This window comes from Homo sapiens, chromosome 14 (genome assembly GCF_000001405.40).
Source record: "Homo sapiens chromosome 14, GRCh38.p14 Primary Assembly".
Taxonomy (NCBI): Eukaryota; Metazoa; Chordata; class Mammalia; order Primates; family Hominidae; genus Homo; species Homo sapiens.
The window spans coordinates 44,776,348-44,801,338 of NC_000014.9; the positions used below are offsets into that span (position 1 = coordinate 44,776,348).

General features: G+C 37.6%; 1 long non-coding RNA gene across 1 annotated transcript in view; it reads right to left on the minus strand.

Moving 5' to 3' along the window:
* LINC02302 (long intergenic non-protein coding RNA 2302) overlaps positions 1-22,779 on the minus strand; it is a 35,970-nt gene extending 13,191 nt beyond the window's left edge. The window contains exons 1-2 of the long non-coding RNA NR_146457.1: positions 22,629-22,779; positions 21,583-21,665 (exon numbers count right to left, since the gene is read on the minus strand). This is a non-coding gene — a long non-coding RNA (long intergenic non-protein coding RNA 2302). The remainder of the gene's footprint in view (positions 1-21,582; positions 21,666-22,628) is intronic.
* Between the last annotated feature and the right edge of the window lie 2,212 nt (positions 22,780-24,991).

Genomic DNA, 24,991 nt, shown 5'->3' on the forward strand with positions numbered 1-24,991 from the left:
AAGATAGGCTGATGAGAATTTGTGAATTTTCCACAAGATATGGGGAAAATGTATAACTAAGTATTGCTAACTAGAAATTTTTTCAGCTATGAAGACAGAGTGAACCTCTCAAACTAAAGAGATAAATTTTTAATTACTTATACCTATATTAACTGGAAGTCTGAAGTTAGTAGAGCACTGTCAAACTAGTAGAAGTCAAAAGATGCCTTATGTTAATAAATTGGCACATAACATGATTTTTGAGGCTATGTCATTAACTTCATTATATCAAACTACTTAGAGTTAGTTATATATGAAAATATAGGAACGTATAAACAAAATAAAACTTGAGGGAAAAATACAGAAAAGAGGAAGGACAGTAAGTAAAATACACATTGAGTAACTGACCATCATATACCTAATATATGTGAGAATCAATACATTTTGTGTTTGCCTTTTGGTCTGATCCCTGTGAAGCATGAAGAGAAGTAGAACTTTTACCTGCATTTCAAAGGAAACTTAGAGAAACAGAAGGGGTATAATTTTCCTGTTCTAAGACTAAATTGTATTCTCAGATATCAAGCTTCTTAAGAACCAGAATGAAAATATCTTTTAAGCCTTTTGCATTACACATTCACTCCTATAATCTCTGTTTTTTAATAGTCAATAAACAGTAAAAATCAACACAGTCTCCTGTTTGGGGAAAGAAGGCAATATGTAGACATCTTTAATTGGGAGAGAACCATGGCCTACAAATTCAAAGGCCTTTTGTACATTAATCTCTCCCTTCTTAATCATCACACTAATCTTGTAAAGGATCACAGAGATCCAGAAATGTCAAAAGATATAATTGCTGTATTTTGTAATTGTTGAGGATTATATCCTGAACACAAAGACAGATGGGAAAAGGCTTTTGGCCCAATTTCTACTGTGTGCTTGGGGAACAATCATAAGATAAGCAGAAGCCTGTTTGCAAATAGAGTAGCAAAGAATAACATACCCTTTGAATGAAATGCTCATTTAATGATATGACATTTCCTTTAGTGATCTAGAAATCAATTAGTTTTAACCCATTTCACTGTACTGACTACTAAAATGAACACAAAAGATTCAATGAGACTTCTTTGGCTTATACCAATGTGTCCTCCCTTCAAAATAAATTCACTTGGAGAAACTTAAGATTCTATAATGTGAAGTTTCACAAAAGACTTTTTTTCTCATATAATGGAAATAGTTTGTTGTATTATGCAGTGCACTTCATGTTTTCCAAGGCACATTTCAGTGGTTCTGCTTCACAGCACCCACATCTTCGTTGCAAGCAATGAAGTCTGTGTTTCTGTAATGGCTGTCACTGTTATTTTGACTGCCTTTAACCCGCTTGGCAACTTGAGAATCGTTTTGTCAAGATCTGCCCCCATAAAGTGGCCATGGCGTGGCCTTTGTTGATAAACTGCTCTCGCTTCACTGACAGATACTTTCTGATGTCTTGAACATAGCAACAGTGATCCCACAGTGACAGCTAACACTGGAAAAATTCTACAATGCAATTTAACTACAAGATGTAGAAGAAAACACAGAAGACATAGGTGAATGGAATTGATGGGTCAAAGGATACAAAGACAAACTCCTTCCAGGAATGTTTGAGAGTGCCTGGTTGTGTACATCCTTGCCAATATTAGGTATTATGATACTTCAAAATCTTTGTCAATTGATTTAATTAAAAATAATATCTTGTTACAATTTGTATTTTTCTTAAGAATGCAACTTAATATTTTCATATCTTAATTTGTCACTGCTATTTTTCACTGTTCACTTTCTCTGCCTGTTTTTCTATTGAGGGCATTGTCTTCATTGAATTGGAAGACCACTTTATATACAGAATACCAATTCTAAAGTTGAGAATATATTATGGGATAAATGACCAGTATCGCTTTGATCTGAAATGCCTGCAACAGGATAGAGAAAATGTTATTCACTGAAATTCCAGAGGAGTTGGTTGGGGGGAAGTATATTTCTCTGCAGTCTCTACATGAAGAAAGAGTTGTTTTTGGAGCTTTGATTTTCGGAAGCTTGAGGCATACAATAGGCATGAGAAAGACAGTGGAAAGTGTGGATGTGTGATGTGAATGGAAGCAATCTGAATGTCCAGCAATAGAAGATCATTAAGTAAATTCTAATATAATACACATAATGAGATGCTATGCATTTGTGGTCGGCAGCTTCTAAAATCATCCACGGTGATACCCAGCCCCTGATATGCATGCCTTTATGTTATCTTCTCCCCTTGAATGGATCTAGTGACTTGCTTCTAACAAACAGAATATGGCAAAAGCCATGGGATATTGCCTCTGAGATGAGGTTACAAAAAGATTCTGTTTCTGTCTTAGTCATCCTTTCTTGCTCTCTCACTTCCTCTGATTGTATCCAGCTGCTATGCTGTGAGCTGCCCTATCAAAAGGCTCATGGGGAAAGGAATTAAGGGAGGCTCAGTCCAGTGACCTATGAGGAATGCAGTTCTCCCGGCACCATATGTGTGAGCTTGTAAGCAAATCCTTCCCCAGTTGTGCCTTGAGATTTCTACAGCCCCAACCCACATAAAAGTTTATTGTTTTAAGACACTAATCTTTGGGGTAATTTGCTATGCAGCAATAAATAACGAATGCAGCAGCCATTAAAAATGATAATGCAGATGTGTGGTTTGTATGTACAATGGGGGGATAGATGTGTGGGTATGTGCACATGTCATCTGTCCTGCTGCAACACGCTTCTGTATATACACTTAGTAAATAGGGGAATTATGGCACTATAAGTTGGAGTTGTGCTGGTTCATATATGACTTTTTCTGGATAAGCAAAGCCAAAAGAGGAGGACTGGACTTCTGACCATCAGCAGGAAAGGAAAAACCCTCTGCTCAGCAGCTGCACTGACAGCAGGAGCCCATTGGCTATGTTTTAAGAAATTTAAAACAAGTGCTTAAAAATATAAAATATAGACAAGGCTATTTATTAAAGCATGATTTGCAAGATTTATAGTAAGAAAAGACTGAAAAAAACCCACATTCCATCAGTATAAGATTGATTAAGTAAACTATGGTATACCAACCAATGAAGGACTATGCAGATATAATAAGAACCAATGAAAATTCTTTATGGTAATGTAGAGTGATCTGCAGGATTGAGCTATTAAATGAAAGACACCAAGAAACTGAACAGTGAACCTCATAAAAAAGGGAAATATCAATATGTATAATATTTGCTAATATTTTCAAAAAGAAACTTACAAAGATACCCAAAAACTATTTAAAAACATAATACCAAATCCAATTAATGGATTTTCCTTGAATTCTGATTTGAGGAAAGGAATGACAAAAAGATTTTTTTTAACTGGAAAAACTTAAACATGGATTTGATATTAGATGATATCAAAAATTTTGATAAATTTTGTTAGGTGTGAAAGTGGCATTATGTTTATAGGTTTTTAAAGTTTTTATCTGGTAGGAATATATACTGAGTTATTAGCAGGTAAAATTATAGATAGCTGCAACAGGATGGAAAAATATTTATAATTGTTGAAGCTGGATTTTGAATGCATTATATATATTTTACTTTGGGGTATGCTTAAAAATTTCCATAATAAAAAGTTGAAAAACAAATAAATAAATTTTAAAAGAAGGTTTGCTCGCAGACCTTTTTACTCAGAAAGACACAGCCCTAGAGAGGCGAGAGAGGTGCAGCTCTCAGCTCATGGCAGATTTCACTGTTGCCAGTGCCTACCTACCTTGACGGTAGCCCCAGTGGCTCAGAAATCTGTTTCCATCTGTATTGTGCATACTCCTGCTCAGTGTGCTCCCTTCCTATTCTTTTTTTTTTTTTTTTCTGAGACAAAGTCTCACTCTTGTCCCCCAGGCTTGAGTGCAGTGGCCCAATCTCTGCTCACTGCAACCTCCACCTCCCAGGTTCAAGCGATTCTCCTGCCTCAGCCTCCCGAGTAGCTGGGACTACAGGCACCTGCCACCACGCCTGGCTAATTTTTGTATTTTTAGCAGAGATGAGGTTTCACCATGTTGGCCAGGCTGGTCTCGAACTCCTGACCTCAGGTGATCCGCCCACCTCAGACTCCCAAAGTGCTGGGATTACAAGCGTGAGCCACCATGCCTGGCCCTTCCTGTTCTAATTAAAGGGTTGAGGTTGATGGCATTACCACTTTATTGTCCTTGCATTTTTAAAATCTCCAACATACCAGCCTGCAGTCATGTTGAATTGTTGTCTGGCAGTCTATCTTATCTACCCAGATACTAGCAACTGTTTTTGCTGGTTCTCTGGCTGCAAGTTTGCTTGAACTTTGAATACTCTGCCCTAACCTTATTTTCCAATTTATCCCTGTCATTTTTAGGGTGCAATTTTGCCAAATATAAGGTTTTTTGGAAGTGCATACACTGCATTTTAGCAGAAATGCCTATACATGCAAACAATGTACAGATAAGAGCAACTTAGCAAATAATTTTTATATAGCATAATTTGGATTTTGTTGAAACACATATATATGCATAAGAAAAAAAGATTTTTGTAGTTGTTCATATAAGTTCTCTAACTTTTCTACAAGCATTTTTGTGGGTTTATAAAAGAAATGATAAGAGTTTTTAAAATTAAAAAGCAACTGATAGCCCAGCATCTGACCACTTATACAACTAGAAACGTCAGATTCAAGGGCAAAGAAGTGAAGATGGAGTAAATTCTGTAATTGCCTGTGGCTTAGAGAAGTCTCAACACTGTTCTGAGTGTCTCTGGAAGAGATTACTTCACAAACCCCACACCAGCAGAAGTTAAATTGTCCTGTGTCAGGGTGAAAAACAGAGTGGGCTGGGGGATTTAGGAGGGTGGGGTCGACTATTCTGAATCTTATTTTGGCAAAGGCTGCTGAAAAGCCAAAAATCTGGCAGTCATCAAGATGACATCTTAAACTGAAAGATATTTTAAAAACTCACATTTATAAAAAACCACCTTCTACTGCGATAGCCTCCTTTAATATATCATTTTCACAATATTTTTCATATATTATAGCTCTCTTCACTTTACAGACAAGGAAACACTCAGAGATCTAACAAATTTGATGAGGTTATGAAGATGCTAAGAATAGAGAAGGGAATTCATTCTACCTCTCTCCTTAAAGTTTGTATTTCAGAGAAAATCACACATACTGTTACCAATCAAATTATTTTATAGGCAAGCTAGTTTCTCAAGATTGGACTATCTGGGTGACTTTCAAAAATATCAGTTAATACTATCATGGTAAATTAATGCCTAGCATCATAATTCAGTTCCATCATTCTAATTACAACCAAACATAAACATTTGCCCAGAGATATGTAGTTAATTCTTGATTATCTTTACCCCTAGAATTGGAGGAAGGGGAGTTTATGTGAATAAGGAAGCCCACTTGCCCAAAGGCACACAGAAAACTGGAAGCCAGGAGTTAACTGTTTCTGTCCCTTCCTGAGAATGGGCACTGGGGCAGTGCCTCTTAGCCCAGGCTCTCTACAGGATCCCATAGAGCATAGCACATATAGTGGTCTGTCTGCTGATCTTTCTCTGTCCCTCTTCTTTCTCAACTGGGCCGTAAATATAGTTGACATTTCCCCTGAATAAATCCATACAAATTATGCCATCAGTTGAATCATTACATTTGCAGTTCAGGTTTAATTTTTTTAACTTGTTAGAAATCTTAATCAAGGCCTTATATGGCATTGCAAAGTTAACACCCTAAGGACCTCATAAGAGCCCTTTCTCCAACCTTGTTAATATTTTTGCTTTCTCTCTCTTCCAAATTGCCAACTTTTCACACTTGCATAACCTGCTCCTTCGAACACTCCAGTGAGTACACCCTGATTTGCTATAGCTGCTGAACTATTTTCTCCTCTTTTGATTCTGCCCCAAACATTCATTTCCCTCATGTTTGGCCCTTAAAACTCTCCTTGCTGTCTATTCTACCTTCTCCTAAGGTCAGTCTTGAGCACTCAAGAAAGGTAAGGGGCACTGAAAACACTAGAATTCTGTCCACCAGGCCTTTCACATACCTATAACACAGATCACTGGCATTCCTGATGGAAGCCCTGAAGTCCCCCCATCACTCAATGCCTACTAGATTATAAAAAAAATCAGTTATGGAAATATAATTTTAATATTGAGTAACGTGATTCTATTCTGGTATTTAAAAATTAATAATACTCACCTGAGTCCAAGAGTTGGAGACCAGTCTGGGCAACATAGCAAGACCCTATCTCTGCAAAAGATTTAAAAAATTAGCCAGGCATGGTGGCACACACCTGTAGTTCCAGCTACTTGGAAGACTGAGTCAGGAGAACACCTAAGCCCAGGAGTTCAAGGCTACAGTGAGCTATGATTGCCACTGCCCTCCAGCCTGGCCAGCAGATACTGGCATAAGTGTTAAATCTCAGCTCTTCATAATTACATAATCCATTTCCCCAGCAGGCCATCTAGGACAATGGTCTTCATTGTGCTGAGTTGAAAATATGCTTATGGAACAACATAGCCAACTTCTATCCCCTGCAGAGTCTGTGTGTAAGATTTCAAGGTAGCCAAAAAGGCTTCACATGGAGCCAAAAAGCATTTAACTTGTTAAAAGCATTCCTGGGGAAGAAAAAATTCTCATCCTGTGGGATTAGTCAGATCACTTGAATACCTGCTTCTCATATTCTTATTTCCCATGATCTTGGCTATTTCCCCAGTTTCCAGGCTCTCTTGCAACTCTGGGTCGACTGTTCAGCTCTCCTTATTTTCTGATGACTCATATCTTCAACCTTGACTGCTCCCACAATCATATCTATTGGCACCCAGCTTCAATCTGATGCCCACTTGGTGCTTTCTGGTTTTGACCCATGTTTGAACTCCCAGCCCTAGGTAGTAAGGGTGTCATGCTAGACATATAGAAAGCTGTCTAATTAATGAACCTCTTGGAATATTATTAGGTACAGTCATATTAAGGCCCTGTTAAAGAAAAACAATTATTCTGGCACTTGTTGAAAGGGCAAAGAAGACTTTATTCAAGACTATTGCAATAGGTGTCAAGACTATTACAATAGGAGAGAGAAATTCCACTCAACTCCAAACACATTAAAGTAGTTGGGAATTTACAGCCAAGGAGTAGGAGGTGAGGGGTGTCAATGGATAGAAAATTACTAAGAAGAGGCATCAAGTGTAGCGGAATTCTTGCTAAACCATCTTAACATGATTCCTGCTGAAGTTAGTTCAGGATGATCAGATATCAAGGGTGTGGGATGAGAAATATGATCAGATATCAAGAGTGATCAGATACCAAGAGTGGAGAGACATTCCGTAAACTGACTTAACAGGACTCTTGCTAAGACCAGACTCAGTAGGCTTATGGAAGACAGAGCCCTAGTTGAAAGAGGTTTCAGAGAAGCCTGTCTAAAGTTTGGTCGAGGCGAGAGTGTCAACCCACAACAGCATTTGTAAACAAAAGAAGGAAAGGGAGAAGGAAATTAACACACTTTTAATGACTGTCTGATTGTGACCCTGTGTCACTTCATGGTACTGCATATACATATTATATTATTTAATCATAAGTATTATGAGGAAGATATCATTATCCTCACTTTACATGTAAAGAAACTGAGGGTCAAAGAAATTAAATAATTGACTGTGGGATCAGAAGACCTGATTAGATGTTGACTTTTTACCCTGGTATCTCTAGTGACCTTAAACAAGTCACTAACCTCTGTCAGTCTCAGTTAATGTGCAAAATTGAGATAAGACACCCTCCTCCCAGAGCTTTAACCATTATCTTTGTGAGGATGACATCAGAATCTCTCTCTCTCAACTCTTATTTCCAAATTCATATCTCCAACTGTCCCCTACACAGATATTTTAAAAAATTAACATCCCAAATTGAACTTATTATCTTGCTTCAAAATACCTTGCATTTCTTTCTAAATTCTTAAACTCATTAGATAAGACCTATATCATTTTGCAAGCTAGAAACATCAGTTATACTCAGCTCCGAGTACTCATGACCCCTGCACCCAAACACACATACTTCCACAAGCAAATGCCTAGTTCTAAGAGAAATATTTCCCAAAGCCACCTTCTCGATTATGTCCTTATGATTGCTCCTTCTGCTCATGCTCCGATCATCCCACCTGGGCTGCTAGGAAGGCCTCCTGGTGGTCTCCTTACCAACAATCATATCTGCCCTAGTCCATCCTCTTGTCATTGCAGTCATATCCATGAAAGCAGAATTTAGTCATATCACTGTGCTGCCTAAAAACTCTGTAAGTCCTTCACTGCCTACCAGTAAGATCAAAAATCCTTAGCGAGACATACAAGGCCCTTCACAGTCAGCCTCAACTTTTTGTCAAGCACCACCTTTAACTGTCCCTCCCCACTGAGGGTCCATTCAGGGAACTCTCCCTCTCTATCACCTGTTCCCTCTCTGAATGTCCATCCCCTAATCTCTCATCTGGTAAAATCCCTTCAAGATCCATGTCAAATGTCATCTTCTTCCCTCAATCTCTTTTGGCACCATCTGCCCTCCTCCAGACCCCCACGGCTCTTTGTTCATACCTCTAGCATAAACCCTATGGTCTGAATGTTTATGTCCCCCTAAAATGTATATGCTAAAATCTCAACCCCCAAAGTGATGGTTTTAGGAGGTGGGACTTTTGGGATGTGATTAGGGCTCTGGCCTCATAAATGGGATCAATGTCCTTATAAAAGAGATTCCAGAGAACTCCCTTGCCCCTTCTGCCATGCAAGGACACAGCAAGATCATGGTGGTCTATGAACCAGGAAGTCAGCCCTCGCTAGACACAGAATCTACCAGCACCTTGATCTTGGACTTCTCACCCTCCAGAACTGTGAGAAATGAATGTTTGTGGTTTACAAGCTACCCAGTTTATAATATTCTGTAGAGCATCCGGAAAGGACAAAGACAGCCCTTAGCTACAAAGGAAGTAAATGTCTCAGACATGTTTCTCCTATCAGACTAGAAACTTCTTGAACACAATAACTATGTGTGAGTCACACTTATGTCCCCTGAGCCTTACTTAATCTAAAACATCATTATACCTACAATTCATTTTCTAAACGACAAGATTATAGAAAATAAAACAGCTCTCTTTATCCATCATTTAAAATAAAGAAAAATGAAGACAACTGCAATTCAATGTGCAATGTTAAGTTAAACTCAATAAGGCTCCCATTCATTTAAAATTAAGGAAGAATAAGATCCAAAATACTTTTCCCCTAGGATTAAAACACATTATTGTATAATTATAGACAACATTTGAAAAACTGAAGTGTGTTGCTTCTTTAGGGACCTGATTTCTTTCATTCCATTTACTATTTTTGTGGCATTATGATAAGCCCCCTAAAGTCACTTCCTAAGTAGTTACAAGAATAAAAGAAACTTTAAATTAAATACCTTAAAGTTCTTCCTTAGGAATAATAATTCATCCCTGCCAATGACTTCCCAACAAATTTCCCAGGTTACTACAATTTTAAATTAAAGAATTAAATTATGAGATAAAAAAATTAAAATTACTCTGCATTTAAGTAATTCTAAATGAATCAATAACAAAGGCATACAAACTCATTATTTCAGATATTTTTATCTGTTTTAGTTATCAAGCAGATGAGCTACAAATATTCTAAATTGTTAACGTTTACAAAATATAATTGTTTTAATTATTACATAATCTACCTTGCCAAATATTAATTACAAATATTAAATAATAGACCTTAAATAAGTATATAATCTAAATAATTATTATACAATTTATCACCATATTTTATAGTCTATATGATCCACACTGACCTATCTAAAATTACTATGAATTATAATTTAAATCTTACAGTTAGAACTATTTCTGGGCAATGTCTTTCAACAGACACAACCACGTGGATGTTATACAAATTGTTCTTTGGTGTAGAATTTAAGCTGTCTTCTTTGCTCTAGTCTACATTTGCACAATACTATAAAGAGTATTTTACTTCCATGCTTTCTAAAAACTTGAAACATAATTTCCTGTAGATAATTTTCCAAACACTTCCTCCAGGTGATGTGGCCTGGTCAATTTCATTTCTAAAAAAGGCAGATAAAAATGTTATTTACCTTTTAGGTATATTTTACTCTGTCAGAGACTGCTGGTTGCCTACTCTATATCCATTCTCCCCTTCTTCACTAATGGAATTCCAATTTTGTTGGCTCCGAAGAAAGAAAAAGCAACCTCCCTTGCAGATGGGGGTGGCCATGGGATATAGAGCAGGCCACTGCTTGGATGTGAAAGCTGGGTTTTTGGAGAAGCTTCAGAAAAAGGGAGTATGATTCATCTGACACTCATTTTTGTCCTTTATTTCCCTCCATTTTCCTTCTTTAAATCTTAAGGGCTGAAAGAATTGCAGACATTGCAGTCCTGACACCCTCAGCCACTAAGGTAATACCAGCATCATTCATTACATAAGAAAAATAAGCCCCTATCTTGTTTTTAAGCCACTGTTATTTGGGTTTTCTGTTTCATGCAGCAGAACTGAGTACCTAACAGAAATTTGTACCAACACAGCAGTGTCTTTTACTACAATCACTCAGTGTACCTATCTACACAAAAGAACAGCACTGCTTTTCACACATGGATTCTGTTAAATTTTAAATTACAGCACCTTATTAAAAGTCATTAGACAAATTCAATTTTACCTATATATGAGAACCTTTTGAGAGACTGGGTCCCAAAGGAAGAGCACAGTATAAAATAAAAAGCAAGACAATGACGGAAAAGAAGGTCAGCATCCTCAAAGACAGATTCCTTTACAATAGAGCTCTGAACAAAAATTAGGCAGAGTCCAACAGAGCTGTTTCTGAAAATAATGGATATGTTAAAAAAAAAAAAAAAAGAAAGAAAGAAAGAAAGCCTAAAGAAGGAAAATACCAGAACAGCATAGCCTTTGAAATGCACAGAATGTTACAAAAATAATGATTTGTTCTATATATCTGTTCTTTAAATGGTAGCTTCATTATTTTTTTTGAAATGCCTTTATCTCCAGGACATCAGACATACCCATAAGTACAAAGTCACATATAAAAGATTTTGGACTCATTTTCTCATTCATTGAATATTTGTTAAATGCCTACTATGTGCCAGATATTATTCTAGGCCCTAAAGATATGGCTGTAAACTAGATCTTCAAAGCTTCTATCCTTAAGGAGCTTACAGTTTGAAGGGGAGGAAGACCAATGTAAACAAGATTAAGAGTGACAAGCACTGGAGAAGAGAAGTGGGGAAAGAGTGTGAGGTGGAAGGAATAGGTGCAATTTTAGAAAGGATAGCGAGGAAGCCTCGGAAGCCTCGCTGAGAAGATGACATTTAGTAAACATCTAAAGGAGGGAAGAAAACAACTATGTTGATACTTAAGGAAAGAACATGCCAGATAGGTGCGGGTGGGGTAGCAGGAGGCAGATGACAAAGTATTGTTGTGGGGCTGGAGCACTTACCGGGTGTGCTCAGATCCCACACAGTTGGAGTGATTTGGAACAATGTGATGTTGTCACAGTTTAGGCACCATTTATCCATTTATTCAACATCCATCTATAACATAAAAAACTTACATTTCACTCTCATAGTTTCTAATGACATTTGGGGGAGTAGAGCGAAAATTGTTCCCAACAGAATATAAACATCCAATTTTCTTGCCAAATGACTGAAAGACTAAAGTTCTCAGCTTTGTATTTTTTTAAGACAAAAATTATTTATTGGATAATAGTCTGATTATCAGAGTCGGTTACTACAGATCGTTTACATTAAGTGTGGTTACTCAGCATAAACTCTTTTCACAATGCTCAGTTATATTTTAAAACCTATACTTACCAAGCTTTTAAATGGGCAGTGTAACAATGTTTTTAGAAGGGAGTTTCTTATATGTAATGTTTTATAAAACAATAACAACAGTAGAATTCTTGATATAGCATAAGAAAATTCGCTTTTAAATAACTGATTATAAGGAACTGTATTTTCATATTTTCACTAATTTTTTAAAGGGATACCAGTCATGTATTTCTAGCACTTTTTAAATCTCAGATTTTCAAAAATGTGCTACACATATTAAGTACCAGTTTCAACCTTTAGAAGATTTTTATTCTGTTATACAAGTAATTTTCTGAAAGAGTCTTGCTTGTGTGAAGAAAATTAAGCACCTGTCTCAATTTCAGAGTATGTCTGAAAGGGTATACCTTAAAAGGGTTATATTCTTAGGGGTCAGAAATAGTGGATTGAGGTTTGTAATGTGTATCAAAATGCAAATTTTATTTTGATAGACTTTATGTCACTCCAATTGCCCCACTGGAATGTCTATATGAAAATACTAAAATCTACTGCATCAAAATGTTAAAACTTGTTGCTCTAAAACAAATATAACTTGACTGCCTATGAGCTTGGGGTGAGTCATTTATCCTATTATTCTCCCACAGGGAATCTGACTGCATTCAAACTACCCAGTTGGAGAATTCAGCTACCTTTGGAAAAGCTGCTATCAAAAAAGGAAGAGGAGCTCTCCTATCCTGCACAGGAGTTTGAATATGGCCTGCGGTGGCCATCATCACCTCTTCACAGCTAAGAATGCCAGAGTAGGTGTGGTGCCACCTCCTTCAGATACTTTTAGCATTTGTGAATTCACTATTGTAGAAGATGAGAGAATGGATTTTAGCATGTTCATGCTTGTTTTCAAAGTAAAACCATTTGATTTAGCCTACTTTATAGGTCCACAGTATTTTAAGTAAATAAATGATGACAACTGTCTCTTTTATAGAACTTTATCTAAAAAAACTTACAACATATGCTTCTATAATACTTACATAGCAGATATTGTTTCAAATACCCTAAAACTATTAATTCATTCAATCTGTCTGCCAATCCTAGCAGGTGAGTGTCATTATCACTTTACAAGAAAACTAAGCAACATGAAGCTAAGTAATTTGCCCAGCATCACACAACTGGTAAGCAGTAAAACCAAGATTCAGACCTGACAGTGTGGCCTCCATACCCTGCACTTTTAACCATGATGTTATGCTGTTTAAAGCAAGTTCTCAGTGCTATGATCTCTTCAAATGAAGCATGGCTAAAAATGTGAATCTGTTATTCTACAGATATTTAACTGTGCATAAGCAAGGCACTGCCAATGACAGGTAGCCAAGGTACTTACCCAGTGATAGGAAATGAAAGACATAAATCCACAGAGACATATTTAGCACTACTGACTTGTAAACAATAGTTAAATAAGCCAAATATGTAGAACAAAAACTCCATGAGTTAAGAAGAAAAACTTCTAAACCAAGGTTATTAGCAAAGGATTCAAAGTGAGAGGGGGATTGAGGTGTCCTTGAAAAAAATGAATAGGATTTGAGAAAAAGAAAGGCATAGAAAGGTCAGCTTGAACCAAGGACATGAAGAAAGAAAGCAAAGTTCTGTTAACAGAACAGCAAATCACATCAACTGCTGGAGAAGCAGATTCACCAATATCAACAGATGGTCTAAGCATTTCTTTCTTTAAATATATAATGTTCTTTGAGTATCTTGGAAAAAGTAAGTATTTAAATTAAGCCTGAAAACAGAGTAAAATGCAAATCCATCCTACTTTTATTTTTCATTTGACTCATTGGATATCAAGGCCTTTCCTTGGCCTTTTAATTCTGTAATCTCCAAAATTCTACACAAGCAGTTTCTGTGTAACAAAGGATATCCGCATTATTATTTTGGTTCCTTTTATGTATTTGAACATCAAAATGCAAGCTTATAGTCTTAATCCCCAGTTTTGTTTTATAAGCGATTACACAAGTGTCATTTTCAGATGTGTATTAGGCTTATTCTGTCAGAAGTGGCTTAGGGAGTATCAAAATGTAGTTATCCCTAACTTTTTAATTTACAGGAACAACAAATAAAACTAAATGAACTTAGATTGCTAACAAGTTTTTGCCTATGAACAAACTGTGCAATCACAAGCTACAGACTAAAAATCTGTAATATTTTGTGGCAAACTCCCTCTTCTCACATATGTATAGATATTATAACCCCTGTGCAGGAAATGGCAGTAACTGTAGATGTGAGTTTTAGATGTGCTAATATCCATGCTGAGTGAGAATACTAGCTGTTAGATGGGCACATATCAAGCATGTGGGACCCTGATGTGTGTGAGCTGAGTGGTTGATAGGCTATAAAGGGAAGAGGAAGCTTTAAGAAAGGCTGAAAGTTGAGAAAAATAAGAATATTAAGGTCTACAAAACTATTTTGCAAAAGACTTCGTGAAAGCAAAGAAAATACTTTAGAAGCACTGGGTTCCTTCAGCATGTGCCTTGAGTCACTTTTGTCTGTATCCACCTGGGCACTTTAAATAGGGACAAGCAAAAGTGCTATGCTAAACTTTATGCACTACACACAGAATTCGGAAGTCAAACAGTCCTGGCTCTGTCACTTAGCTGTGTGATCTGGCAGGTTATTTAACTGCCTTACTCTCAATTTCCTAATCTATAAGAAATGGAAGGATATATCCCAGATTAAAAAGGCAACTAAGTGCCCAATGTTAGGAACAAGCCACACATACACACAAACACACACACACACACACACCCCCCAAGACTCATCACTGTGAAGTTCAGAACACTGATAAGAAAGATTATAGAAGGATCCAGAAAGAGAAATACATATATATATATATATATATATATATATATATCTCATAGGAGAGAGGACAGCTCCATGCATGTTATTGTCCCTGAAGACCTTCCAGTGGGACAAGACGTGGAGGTGGAAAACAAGGATATTGATGATTCTGATCCTCCGTATTTGTATTAGTCCATTTTCATATTGCTATAAAGAAGTACCCGAGGTTTGGTAATTTATAAAGAAAAAGAGGTTTCATGGACTCACAATTCCACATGGCTGGGGAGGCCTCACAATCATGGCAGAAGGTGAAGGAGAAGCAAAGGCACGTCTTACATGGTGGCAGGCAAGAGAGCATGTGCAGGGGAACTGCCCTTTATAAAACCATCAGATCTCATAAGACTTATTCACTATCACGAGAACAGCATGGGGAAAACCTGCCCCATGATTCCGTTACCTCCCACCAGGTCCCTCCCACGACATCTGGGGATTATGGGAGCTATTATTCAAGATGAGATTGGGGTGGGGACACAGCCAAACCATATCAGTATGCCCAGGCTAATGTGTGTATTTGTGTTATTTTTGTTTATTTAACAAAAAAGTTTTTTAAAAAATAATAGTAAAGAAATAAATCATTTTAAAATGGAAAAAGCTTATGAATAAGGATATAAAGAAAAAATATTTTTGTATAGCTGTACTATATTTCTGCATACCTGTACAATGTATTTTAAACTAAGTATTTTTACAAAACAGTCAAAAAGTTTTAAAATATTTTAAAACTTTATAAGGTTAAAAAAAGTTATAGTAAGCTAAGTTTGATTTATTACTGAAGAAAGAAATACTTTTTACAAATTTGGTATAGCCTAACTGTACGGTGTTTATAAATTCCACAGTAGTGTACAGTAACATCCTGGTCCTTCACATTCATTCATCACTCACTGACTCACCCAGAGCAACTTCTAATCCTGAAGCACCATTCATAAGTGTCCTATACAGAGGTACCATTTTTTATGTTTTATACCGTATGTTTACTACACATTTCCTATGTTTAGATGTACAGATACCATTGTCTTCCAATTGCTTACGGTATTCAGTATATTAACATGCTATATAGGTTTGTAGCCTAGGAGTGCTAGACTATACCATATTGTCTACGTGTATAGTAGGCTATGCCATCTAGGTTTATGTACTATGTACACTCTATGGTGTTCACACATGACAAAATCATGGAACGATTAATTTCTCATAAGGCATTCTTCTCATTAAGCAATGCATGACTGCACGTATATGTCACATACAAGGCATAGGAAACAGAATGGCATGTCTCAATACCAATGCTGGAACTATAAGGAATCAATGTTTTCAATATTCTGAGGGAGATATATTTTTAATACAAAATGCTATATTGAACAAAGCTGTTAACCAAATTGAGGGTGAAAGAAATTTTCAGATGTGCAAAAAAGCATAAAAACTTATTTCTCAAATATCCTTTCTTAAGCAGCTACCGAAGAAGTTTTTTTCTTCAGAGATACAAACAATTCCACCAAAGGAAGTCAGGGGACACAGAAACATCAGAATGGCAGCAACAGAAAGTAATTTCCAAGCCATAATTCAGAAATTTTAATTTAAAAATAGAAAAAGATACACTAAGTATAAAATAATTTATTCAAAAAAAGTCTTTTGACAAAGTTAGAGAAATCAAATCAATTTACCTATTTCTTATACTATATTTCCTCCATTAAAATCACCTCTTTGTTGTGTCAACTCTTCTTGAAGGCAGTTGAATAATAGACGATACAAAATGTCTTTTCAAATACAAAAGAATCTCGGAATTTCTCAACCAGGAAATATTGATGGTTTATTGTTTTCTCCAATAATTTGAATTTTAAAATTCATTTTTCACGTATTTTCTGGCTTGTAAAATTGGTATGTGAGACCAGGGATTATAACTCATTATTCACTGTAACTTCAAAAGTCCTCAACATGTGGTAAGTGCTCAATAAATAGCTGTATAACCTAAATGATATTACATGCATAACAATTAAAGTGTAATTAATCTACATGAACTGCCATTTCAGGTATGAAGATGCTTAATGGTGCTACAGAAGAAGCTATCAAAAAACTGCACAATAAAGACACAGCAAGAGTAAATGAATTAAGTAGGGCACCAGCATTTTGAAGAAAGCAGACCCTCCCTAAATATGAAGTGACAGAGACTCATTACTATACTGTGAGCAAATACTAAGCAAAGACTATGAAATTTCTTAATGGAATAAACTTCTCAAAATTATTCTCTTAGTGGTACTAAATAAAAGTAATTATTAGTACTCACAGAAATTATCAGACTTCACTTTTTCATTCATTTATTTAACAAACATATACTGTGACCCTGTGTCAAGTACGGTGCTAAGAATTAAGGATTCAACAATAAACATTATACCATGATAACTCGTCTTGTGGAGGTTACAATTTGTATACAGACATATGTATACCAATAAAATGTATACTTTCTCATGGTATTGTCTTTATAACTCTCAACATATCCTTTCATGTTTTCATTAAAATTCAGAATAAATAAACCATTATGCCCTAACTGGATTGGTCTCATCTAACTACAGTCAGGATTTGGGGGAGAGGAAGATGTCAAAGGTATAAATAAGCAACACTCTACAGAATCATATTTTACTGAGACATTTTTTCTGGATATACAACATATTAGCTGATTTGTTTGTATTGCAGCTGTTGATGCTGAAGGGGACATTTAGAAACTAGGGATTAAAAGTTTTCAGCTCCACACAAGCTCAGGGTTATAGCCCCAGACTTTCACAAGTAACCTAATCAGTTTTGCTAAGATTCTCATTCATAGAGTCTGTAGGATCAAGACAGGTGTGTCAAGGGTATCTTGTACCAAGATATATTTTTAAAGCGGCAGTCTTTTGGCATTCTGTTCTCCCCTGCAGCCCACTAAACCACTGGAATACACTGAAGCAGGATTTCAATAAAGAGTACCCTTATATTTTACATGTAGAATTGGAACCAGACAGAAAAAGCCTTGAATTCAGTCATAAGCAAGTGTTCAGACAAGTTACTTTATGCATCTTTTCTACACACAGACTAGAATCTATATCTCTACAACTGATCCCACTGGGACCTGAGGCAAAACATTTTGCAGGATGAATACATTATGCTAATTGCTTTACTCTATCCATTTGTTCCTCATCCTTTCCTGGTTTCTACTTTTCTCCTTACCCTTGCCCTTTAATAATCTCTCATGAGAAGGAACTTATCTTTTTTTCTGTTTACAGTATGCAAAGGAAATACTCATAAGCAAGGAGTCATCTGAAGTAAGAACTAAGACAAAGAATACATTCAAGAACAGAATCCTTTTTAAAAAAAATGCTTTGTATTGGGGTATGTTTTCATTCACCAGCTTATGCAACTGAATGCTTGCAGGAGATCAGAAAAAGAAGCACCCCAATTCTTTTATGGAATACCAAGCATGAATAAGGCCATTCACCCCTTTGGCTCTCCCTCTCTGTTACTTAAGCCGTCCTAATAAAGAAGTGAATTTCCCTCTCCTCTTTCTATTTTCACTGTGTGTATCAAAGCCTCAGATGCACATTTTGCTATTTTGTAGTCCTTGTGGAAAAAGATATTTGAAATGTGAGGGGCATGTTAAGAAACCATTTATAGCTTTTACAACAGAGCTTTAAAAAGCCCAGGGTCAGCACAGCAGTGTCCATTTCACCTAAAGCCAAATTTTTAAGCCAAGGGAAAAACAAATAGTGCTTTGAGTTTTATTTACCACATACTGATAATTCAGAAAAAAAAAAAATAGCACTAACTAAGTGCACTACTATTGACTCATTAATACATAACAAAATGATTTTTGAATATACAAAATGAAAACCTTAAAAATTATAATGCTTAGAAATTGTGGTTTGACAATATTTTTGTGTCCTGGCCTCAATTTAGAAACATCTCTGGAGCCAGAACTTTTCCAACATAATATAAACTTCTTTATCCTGAAGAACTTGGTTTCTAAACATCTTAATGATTACTATAAAAATTTACTTTCAAAAAATGTAATTTTTACCAAAAGACAACAGAATGAAAAAACAGTATTTGGTTGTTACTAACTTGAAGTGTAACTTTGATACTCAAATCTTTGATACTCAGCTTTTGAGAGACTGAAACAGCAGTTTAAGGGCTTAAAAACATTCTCTTAAATTCTATTAATCCATACCTTAAAAGAATCTGTTTACTGTCTGCCTGTGGGCAAACTAGGAACCCAAAAGGTATCCAGTTGTAAACGTTTCCATGAAATCCCTCAGAATCACATTCAGAAAGAGGTAGCTAAGTAAGGGGTGTGCCAGAGTATGGGATCTGGGTGGGAACTAATGCATAAATAGGTTTGCAGAAGGAAGACAAAAAATCAGTGGGAGAGGGAAACTGATGGGTACTTAGGAGAAGAAGGATGGGTCCAAGTGGGATAGGTATATTTCTAGGAGGTGACTGAGTGACTGACAGAGCCACTTCTGTAACCTGTAAATACAGCTTCAATCCCTTTTCAATGAAGCATTTTGTGCCTTCAAAGGAAATTGAAGTCAGGAAAAGAGAGAAAACACACCACATATGAAAGATTGCCACCTGTTTTGTTCACTTCTTTAATTTCCACTCCTCCATCCATTTTAGAAGAAATTCTCCCCACCCTGCTCCAAAGACATAAAGAGTTATTTTATTGAATTAACCCAAAAGGATCTTCTTCTTAGAAGAGCTGCTGACCACAGTGGCCATTAGGTTTGGGAGGGCAGTTATACTATTTTTGCAACCTCTGAGCCAAGTCTAGTGAGCAGCACCTCTAGGCTCCTCCCACTCCAACCAGGGGCTCTGACAACAGTCACCTGTACTAGGGAGGCAAAGGGATTGCTGGTGGACATGAGTCACCTGCTGGGCTTCAATTCCAGCTCTGCTAACTACTAGCTATTTTTTCAACACAAGCAACCACCCATCTGTAGAACGGAGTTGCTGATGATAGTATCAGTATTTATAGTGTTATTTATGAGATTTAAGTAAGTGAATATTCATAAAATGCCAAAGTGCTTAATCAGTGCCTGGCTCATAGGCTATGTTAAATAGCTTGTCAAATAAAGTTTAGGCATATTAAAATGAATTCATTTTAAAATTTTGATTGTAACTTATGTATCACTTCCATTTGTGATTAAAATAGAGTCACCTTCATTACTTTACCTTTTTGATTTTTACATTTCTGGAATTGAAATCCCTGGGCCCTTATTCTTCTACTTTATACAATGCAAAACAAAACTCAAAATTGTGCTTTATGTAACCATCTTGTCTCTTTTTTTTTTTCCTAAACACTACGGTACCTATCAATAGAACTTAAACGAGTGAATTATTACAAAAATCAACACTTTCTTAACATCCTCTCTTGTTCTCAATGACATAGGTAAGCCTATATAGTATAGATTATTTCCCTACAGTTTTGTCATTTGCAGGCAGTGCTTGCAAGCATGAATACAACAAATCAGAAAAAGAAAGAAGAAAAAAAATACATTTCAGTCACTGAACCCTATAAGTCAGTACAAAAAGATGCAGTTAAAGGTGCCATTTTCCATCCAAATAGGTATCTTGAATGCAGTTCTTTGTGATACTTTCAGTTTTGGATGGTATTTTAATGGAAGAAAATGGAAAATAAGCCCAGTCTGAGCAACTATATCATACACTACGGCCATGAGCTCAGTGTAATTTGATTTAACCAGGTTCAATACTAGCTTCACAACGCATTGAATCATGAACTTCAGATTTTTCTTTGCAGTAAAATCCTTCCGAATCTTGATTTCCAGCCAACATGCACATCACCTGTTGTTATTCTTAATTAAAGCAGCGTTGACAAAAATACTAAGGGCCAAAATTTTATACCTATTCAGAAGAAAGTCAATCTAGTGCCCTCACTTAGGAAGGAAGTACAGAGAAAGCACTCAAAAGGAAAATAAATGTGGATTATTTACTGATACCAAAAATGAAGACTCCTGGAAACAAGATATTTAAATTTTTCAGCCCAATATGAGTTTAGAGTCAGAGTTGCAAACCTGAGGACAATAACCAATCAATTTAGCCACAATTGTCACCAATAGCATTTGTAAGGTTGAGGCCAGAAGATCACAGGTCTGCTACAACAGATTTATCACTTCTTAAATCATGTTTCTGTCCATCATCCTCTGCTCAGGTTCAAGCTGTGATCAATGAAAGGATGTCCGTCTACAGCCCTGAGATTTGATATATGGATGCTCCATAAAATTCAGCACTTTAAAGACATGTATTGATCGATATAATTCCAATATAAAAGAATAATTTGATGGTAGAGCCTTCATATCACAAAAATTGAAAGCTATTTAAAAGGCAGATGAATATATTTATGAAGAAATTGCCAAGTAAAATTCCCAAAAGTTTGAGACTATAATGTAGGAATACTTTAATTAGGCATTCGCTGTCTAATTAGACTTATGTGATTTCAATAATGTTTAACATTCATAAAATAAACCAGAATCCTTGGACTATGCAACCTCACATTAAAAAAAAGATAAACAACTCTAAAAGAATCAATCAAAATAGTAAAGATGTAGAATTAAAAGCAGCAGCAGATTCTACAATATCCCATATACCACTTTGCTTTCATGGTTAACAAGAAAACAGACTAAATATGAACGACACGTGACAAGCTGTTTTCAACAATGAAGATGGTAAACACAGTGCCTTCAAATATGTTGACCCACACAAAACTCAATGCCCTTTATTAGAAACACTAAGTCGGAACTTTGTTGAGAAACACTTGGCCAAAGCCTCATTGATCACCCTCAAGTTGCATAAGACAGTAACCAAGATTTTTTTTTAAATCATCTTACCTTTCCTTTGGAGATAAAACTGCATCTTTTCAGCTCCCTCCTGCCTCCGACACAGAAACACACGCCATGAATTGTTAACAACACTGAAGATATGTGAAAACAGATGGCAATAATCAGATTTTCTAAATAAACATAAGCGCTGAACCTAGTTTAAAAAATAACGTAAAATTCTTAAAAATATAAATAGCTTGTGAGTTTTTTGTAATTTATAAATAATATACATTACTCATATGTTAAAAAAAGAAAAATAAATCAAAGCACAAAGAAAGAAAACAAAAGTCATCTATTACCCTATCACCTAAAAAAGAAACTACTAACTTTTCGGTGTATTCTTCAGGCATATATAACAAAAGAATTAATTACAGTTAGTTGTAAAACATTTGTTTTATAATGCAATTCTTCTAAATAAAATGTGGTATATTGGTTATTTTTAGATGTTAAAAAATAAAGCAGAACTACCTGTCCAGAAACCCATTATGAGAGGTGACAGCATGCTGGCGGCCCTAGCAGCCCTCACTCGCTCTCGGCGCCTCCTCGGCCTTGGCGCCCACTCTGGCCGCGCTTGAGGAGCCCTTCAGCCCCCCGCTGCACTGTAGGATCCCCTTTCTGGGCTGGCCAAGGCCGGAGCCGGCTCCCACAGCTTGCCGGGAGGTGTGGAGGGAGAGGCGCAGGCGGGAACCCGGGCTGCGCGCTGCGCTTGCGAGCCAGCGCGAGTTCCGGGTGGGCGTGGGCTCGGCAGGCCCCCTGCTCGGAGCGGCCGGCCGGCCGCCCCGCCAGCCCCGGGCAGTGAGGGGCTTAGCACCTGGGCCAGCAGCTGCTGTGCTGGATTTCTGGGGTCTTAGCTGTCCCAGCGGGGCAGGGTTCCGGACCTGCACCCGGCCATGGCCATGCCTGAGCCTCCCCCTGCTCCCCCCGCTCCCCCCACCGCCTCCGCCTCCCCACCTCCCCCGCCCCCCCGCCTCCTCGCCCCCCGCCCCCCGCCCCGTACCCCGTCCCCGCCTCCCCGCTCCCCCGCCGCCGCCTCCCCGCCCTCCCGCCGCCCCCACCTCCCCGCTCCTGCGCCGGCCGGATCCTCCTCAAGAGCACTGGCCCCTGCTCCACGGTGCCCAGTCCCATTGACTCCCCAAGGGCTGAGGAGTGTGGGCTCACTGCGTGGGACTGGCAGGCAGCTCCACCTGCGCCCTGCTCGGGGATCCACTGGGTGAAGCCAGCTGGGCTCCTGAGTCTGGTGGGGACTTGGAGAATCTTTATGTCTAGCTAAGAGATTGTAAATACACCAATCAGCACTCTGTATATAGCTCAAGGTTTGTAAACACACCAGTCAGCACCCTGTATCTAGCTCAGGGTTTGTGGATGTACCAATGGACACTCTGTATCTAATTAATCTGGTGGGGAGAGGAGAAATTTTATGTCTAGCTAAGGGATTGTGAATGCACCAATCGGCACTCTGTATCTAGCTCAAGGTTTGTAAATGCACCAATCAGCACTCTGTGTCTAGCTCAGGGTTTGTAAATACACCAATTGACACTCTGTATCTAGCTAATCTAGTGGGGACTTGGTGAACTTTTGTGTCTAGCTCAGGGATTGTAAATGCACCAATCAGTAGCCTGTCAAAACGGACCAATCAGCTCTCTGTAAAACAGACCAATCGGCTCTCTGTAAAATGGACCAATCAGCCAGATGTGGGTGGGGCCAGATAAGAGAATAAAAGCAGGTTGCCCAAGCCAGCAATGGAAACCTGGGTCACCTTCCACACTGTGGAAGCTTTGTTCTTCCCTCGTTGCAATAAATCTTGCTACTGCTCACTCTTTGGGTCCACACTGCCTTTATGAGCTGTAACACTGGCTGCGAAGGTCTGCAGCTTCACTCCTGAAGCCAGTGAAACCATGAACCCACTGGGAGGAATGAACAACTCCAGACACGCCATCTTAAGAGATGTACCACTCACCATGAAGGTCTGCAGCTTCACTCCTGAGCCAGCGAGACCACGAACCCACCAGAAGGAACAAACTCCGGACACATCTGAACATCAGAAGGAACAAACTCCTGACACGCTGCCTTTAAGAACTGTAACACTCACCGCAAGGGTCCGCGGCTTCATTCTTGAAGTCAGTGAGACCGAGAACCCACCAATTCCGGACACAATTACAGGGTACATATCCAAAAGAAAATACACCATTCCACCAAAAAGACACATGTACTCCTACATTCATTGCAGCACTATTTACAATACTGAATGTAATGCAAAGACATGGAATCAACCTAGGTTCCCATCAACAGTAGATTAGATAAAGAAAATGTGGTATATATACACTATGGAACACTATGTAGCCATTAAAAAGAATGAAATCGTCCTTTACAGCAACATGAATGCATCTGGAGGCCATTATCCTCAGTGAATTAATGCAAGAACAGAAGTCAAGTACCACATGTTCTCAATTATAGGTGAGAGCTAAACATTGGGTTCTCATAGACATAAAGATGGCAATAATCCACAATGTGGACTACTAGAGTGGGGAGAGAGGGAAGGGGGCAAGGGTTGAAAAATTAACTATTGGGTACTATGCTCACTATCTGGGTGATGGAATCATTCATATCCCAAACCTCAACATCACACAATATACCCATATAACAAGCCTGAAAATGTACCCCTGAATCTAAAACAAAAGTTGAATTATTTTTTAAAAGGTTGATGGAAACACATACTATGAAAAAACTTCACATGGAGTTTGAATTTTTTTGCACCAAAATAAACTTATACCAACTTGTTATAACATGTATGAACAGGAGCTAGTTTGGGGCACTAAGAAGGATAAGACATCAGTTTGAACAGAGTTCTTATCAGAGCAACATGAATTCTGCTAAAATTAAAGCAAGAAAAGACATCAAATTTATGGTGAAGTTTGTGTGGAAAATAAGTGAAATCACTGATGCTTTATAAAAACTTTATGGGGATAATGCCCCTAAAGAAATCAGCAGTTTACAAATGGATAATTCATTTTAAAATGGGATGAGACCATGTTGAAGATAAAGCCCACAGTCACAGACCATCCATATCAATTTGTGAGAAAAGAATTAATCTTGTTCATGTCTTTTTTTTTTTTTTTTGAAACAAGTTCTCGCTCTGTCACCCAGGCTAAAGTGCAATGGTGTTATCCTACTCACTGCATCCTCAGTCTCCCAGGCTCAAGCAATCCTGCCACTTTAGCCTCCTGAGTAGCTGGGACTCCTGGCTGATTTTTGTTTGTTGGTTGGTTTAAGTAGAGATTAGATCTCCCTATGTTGCCCAGGCTCTTGTTTGTGTCTTAATTGAAGAGGACTGATGATGAAAAGCAGAAACGATAGCCTATGCTATAAACATTTCAACTGGTCCAGCTTATATAATTCTGACTAAAAAATTAAAGTTGAG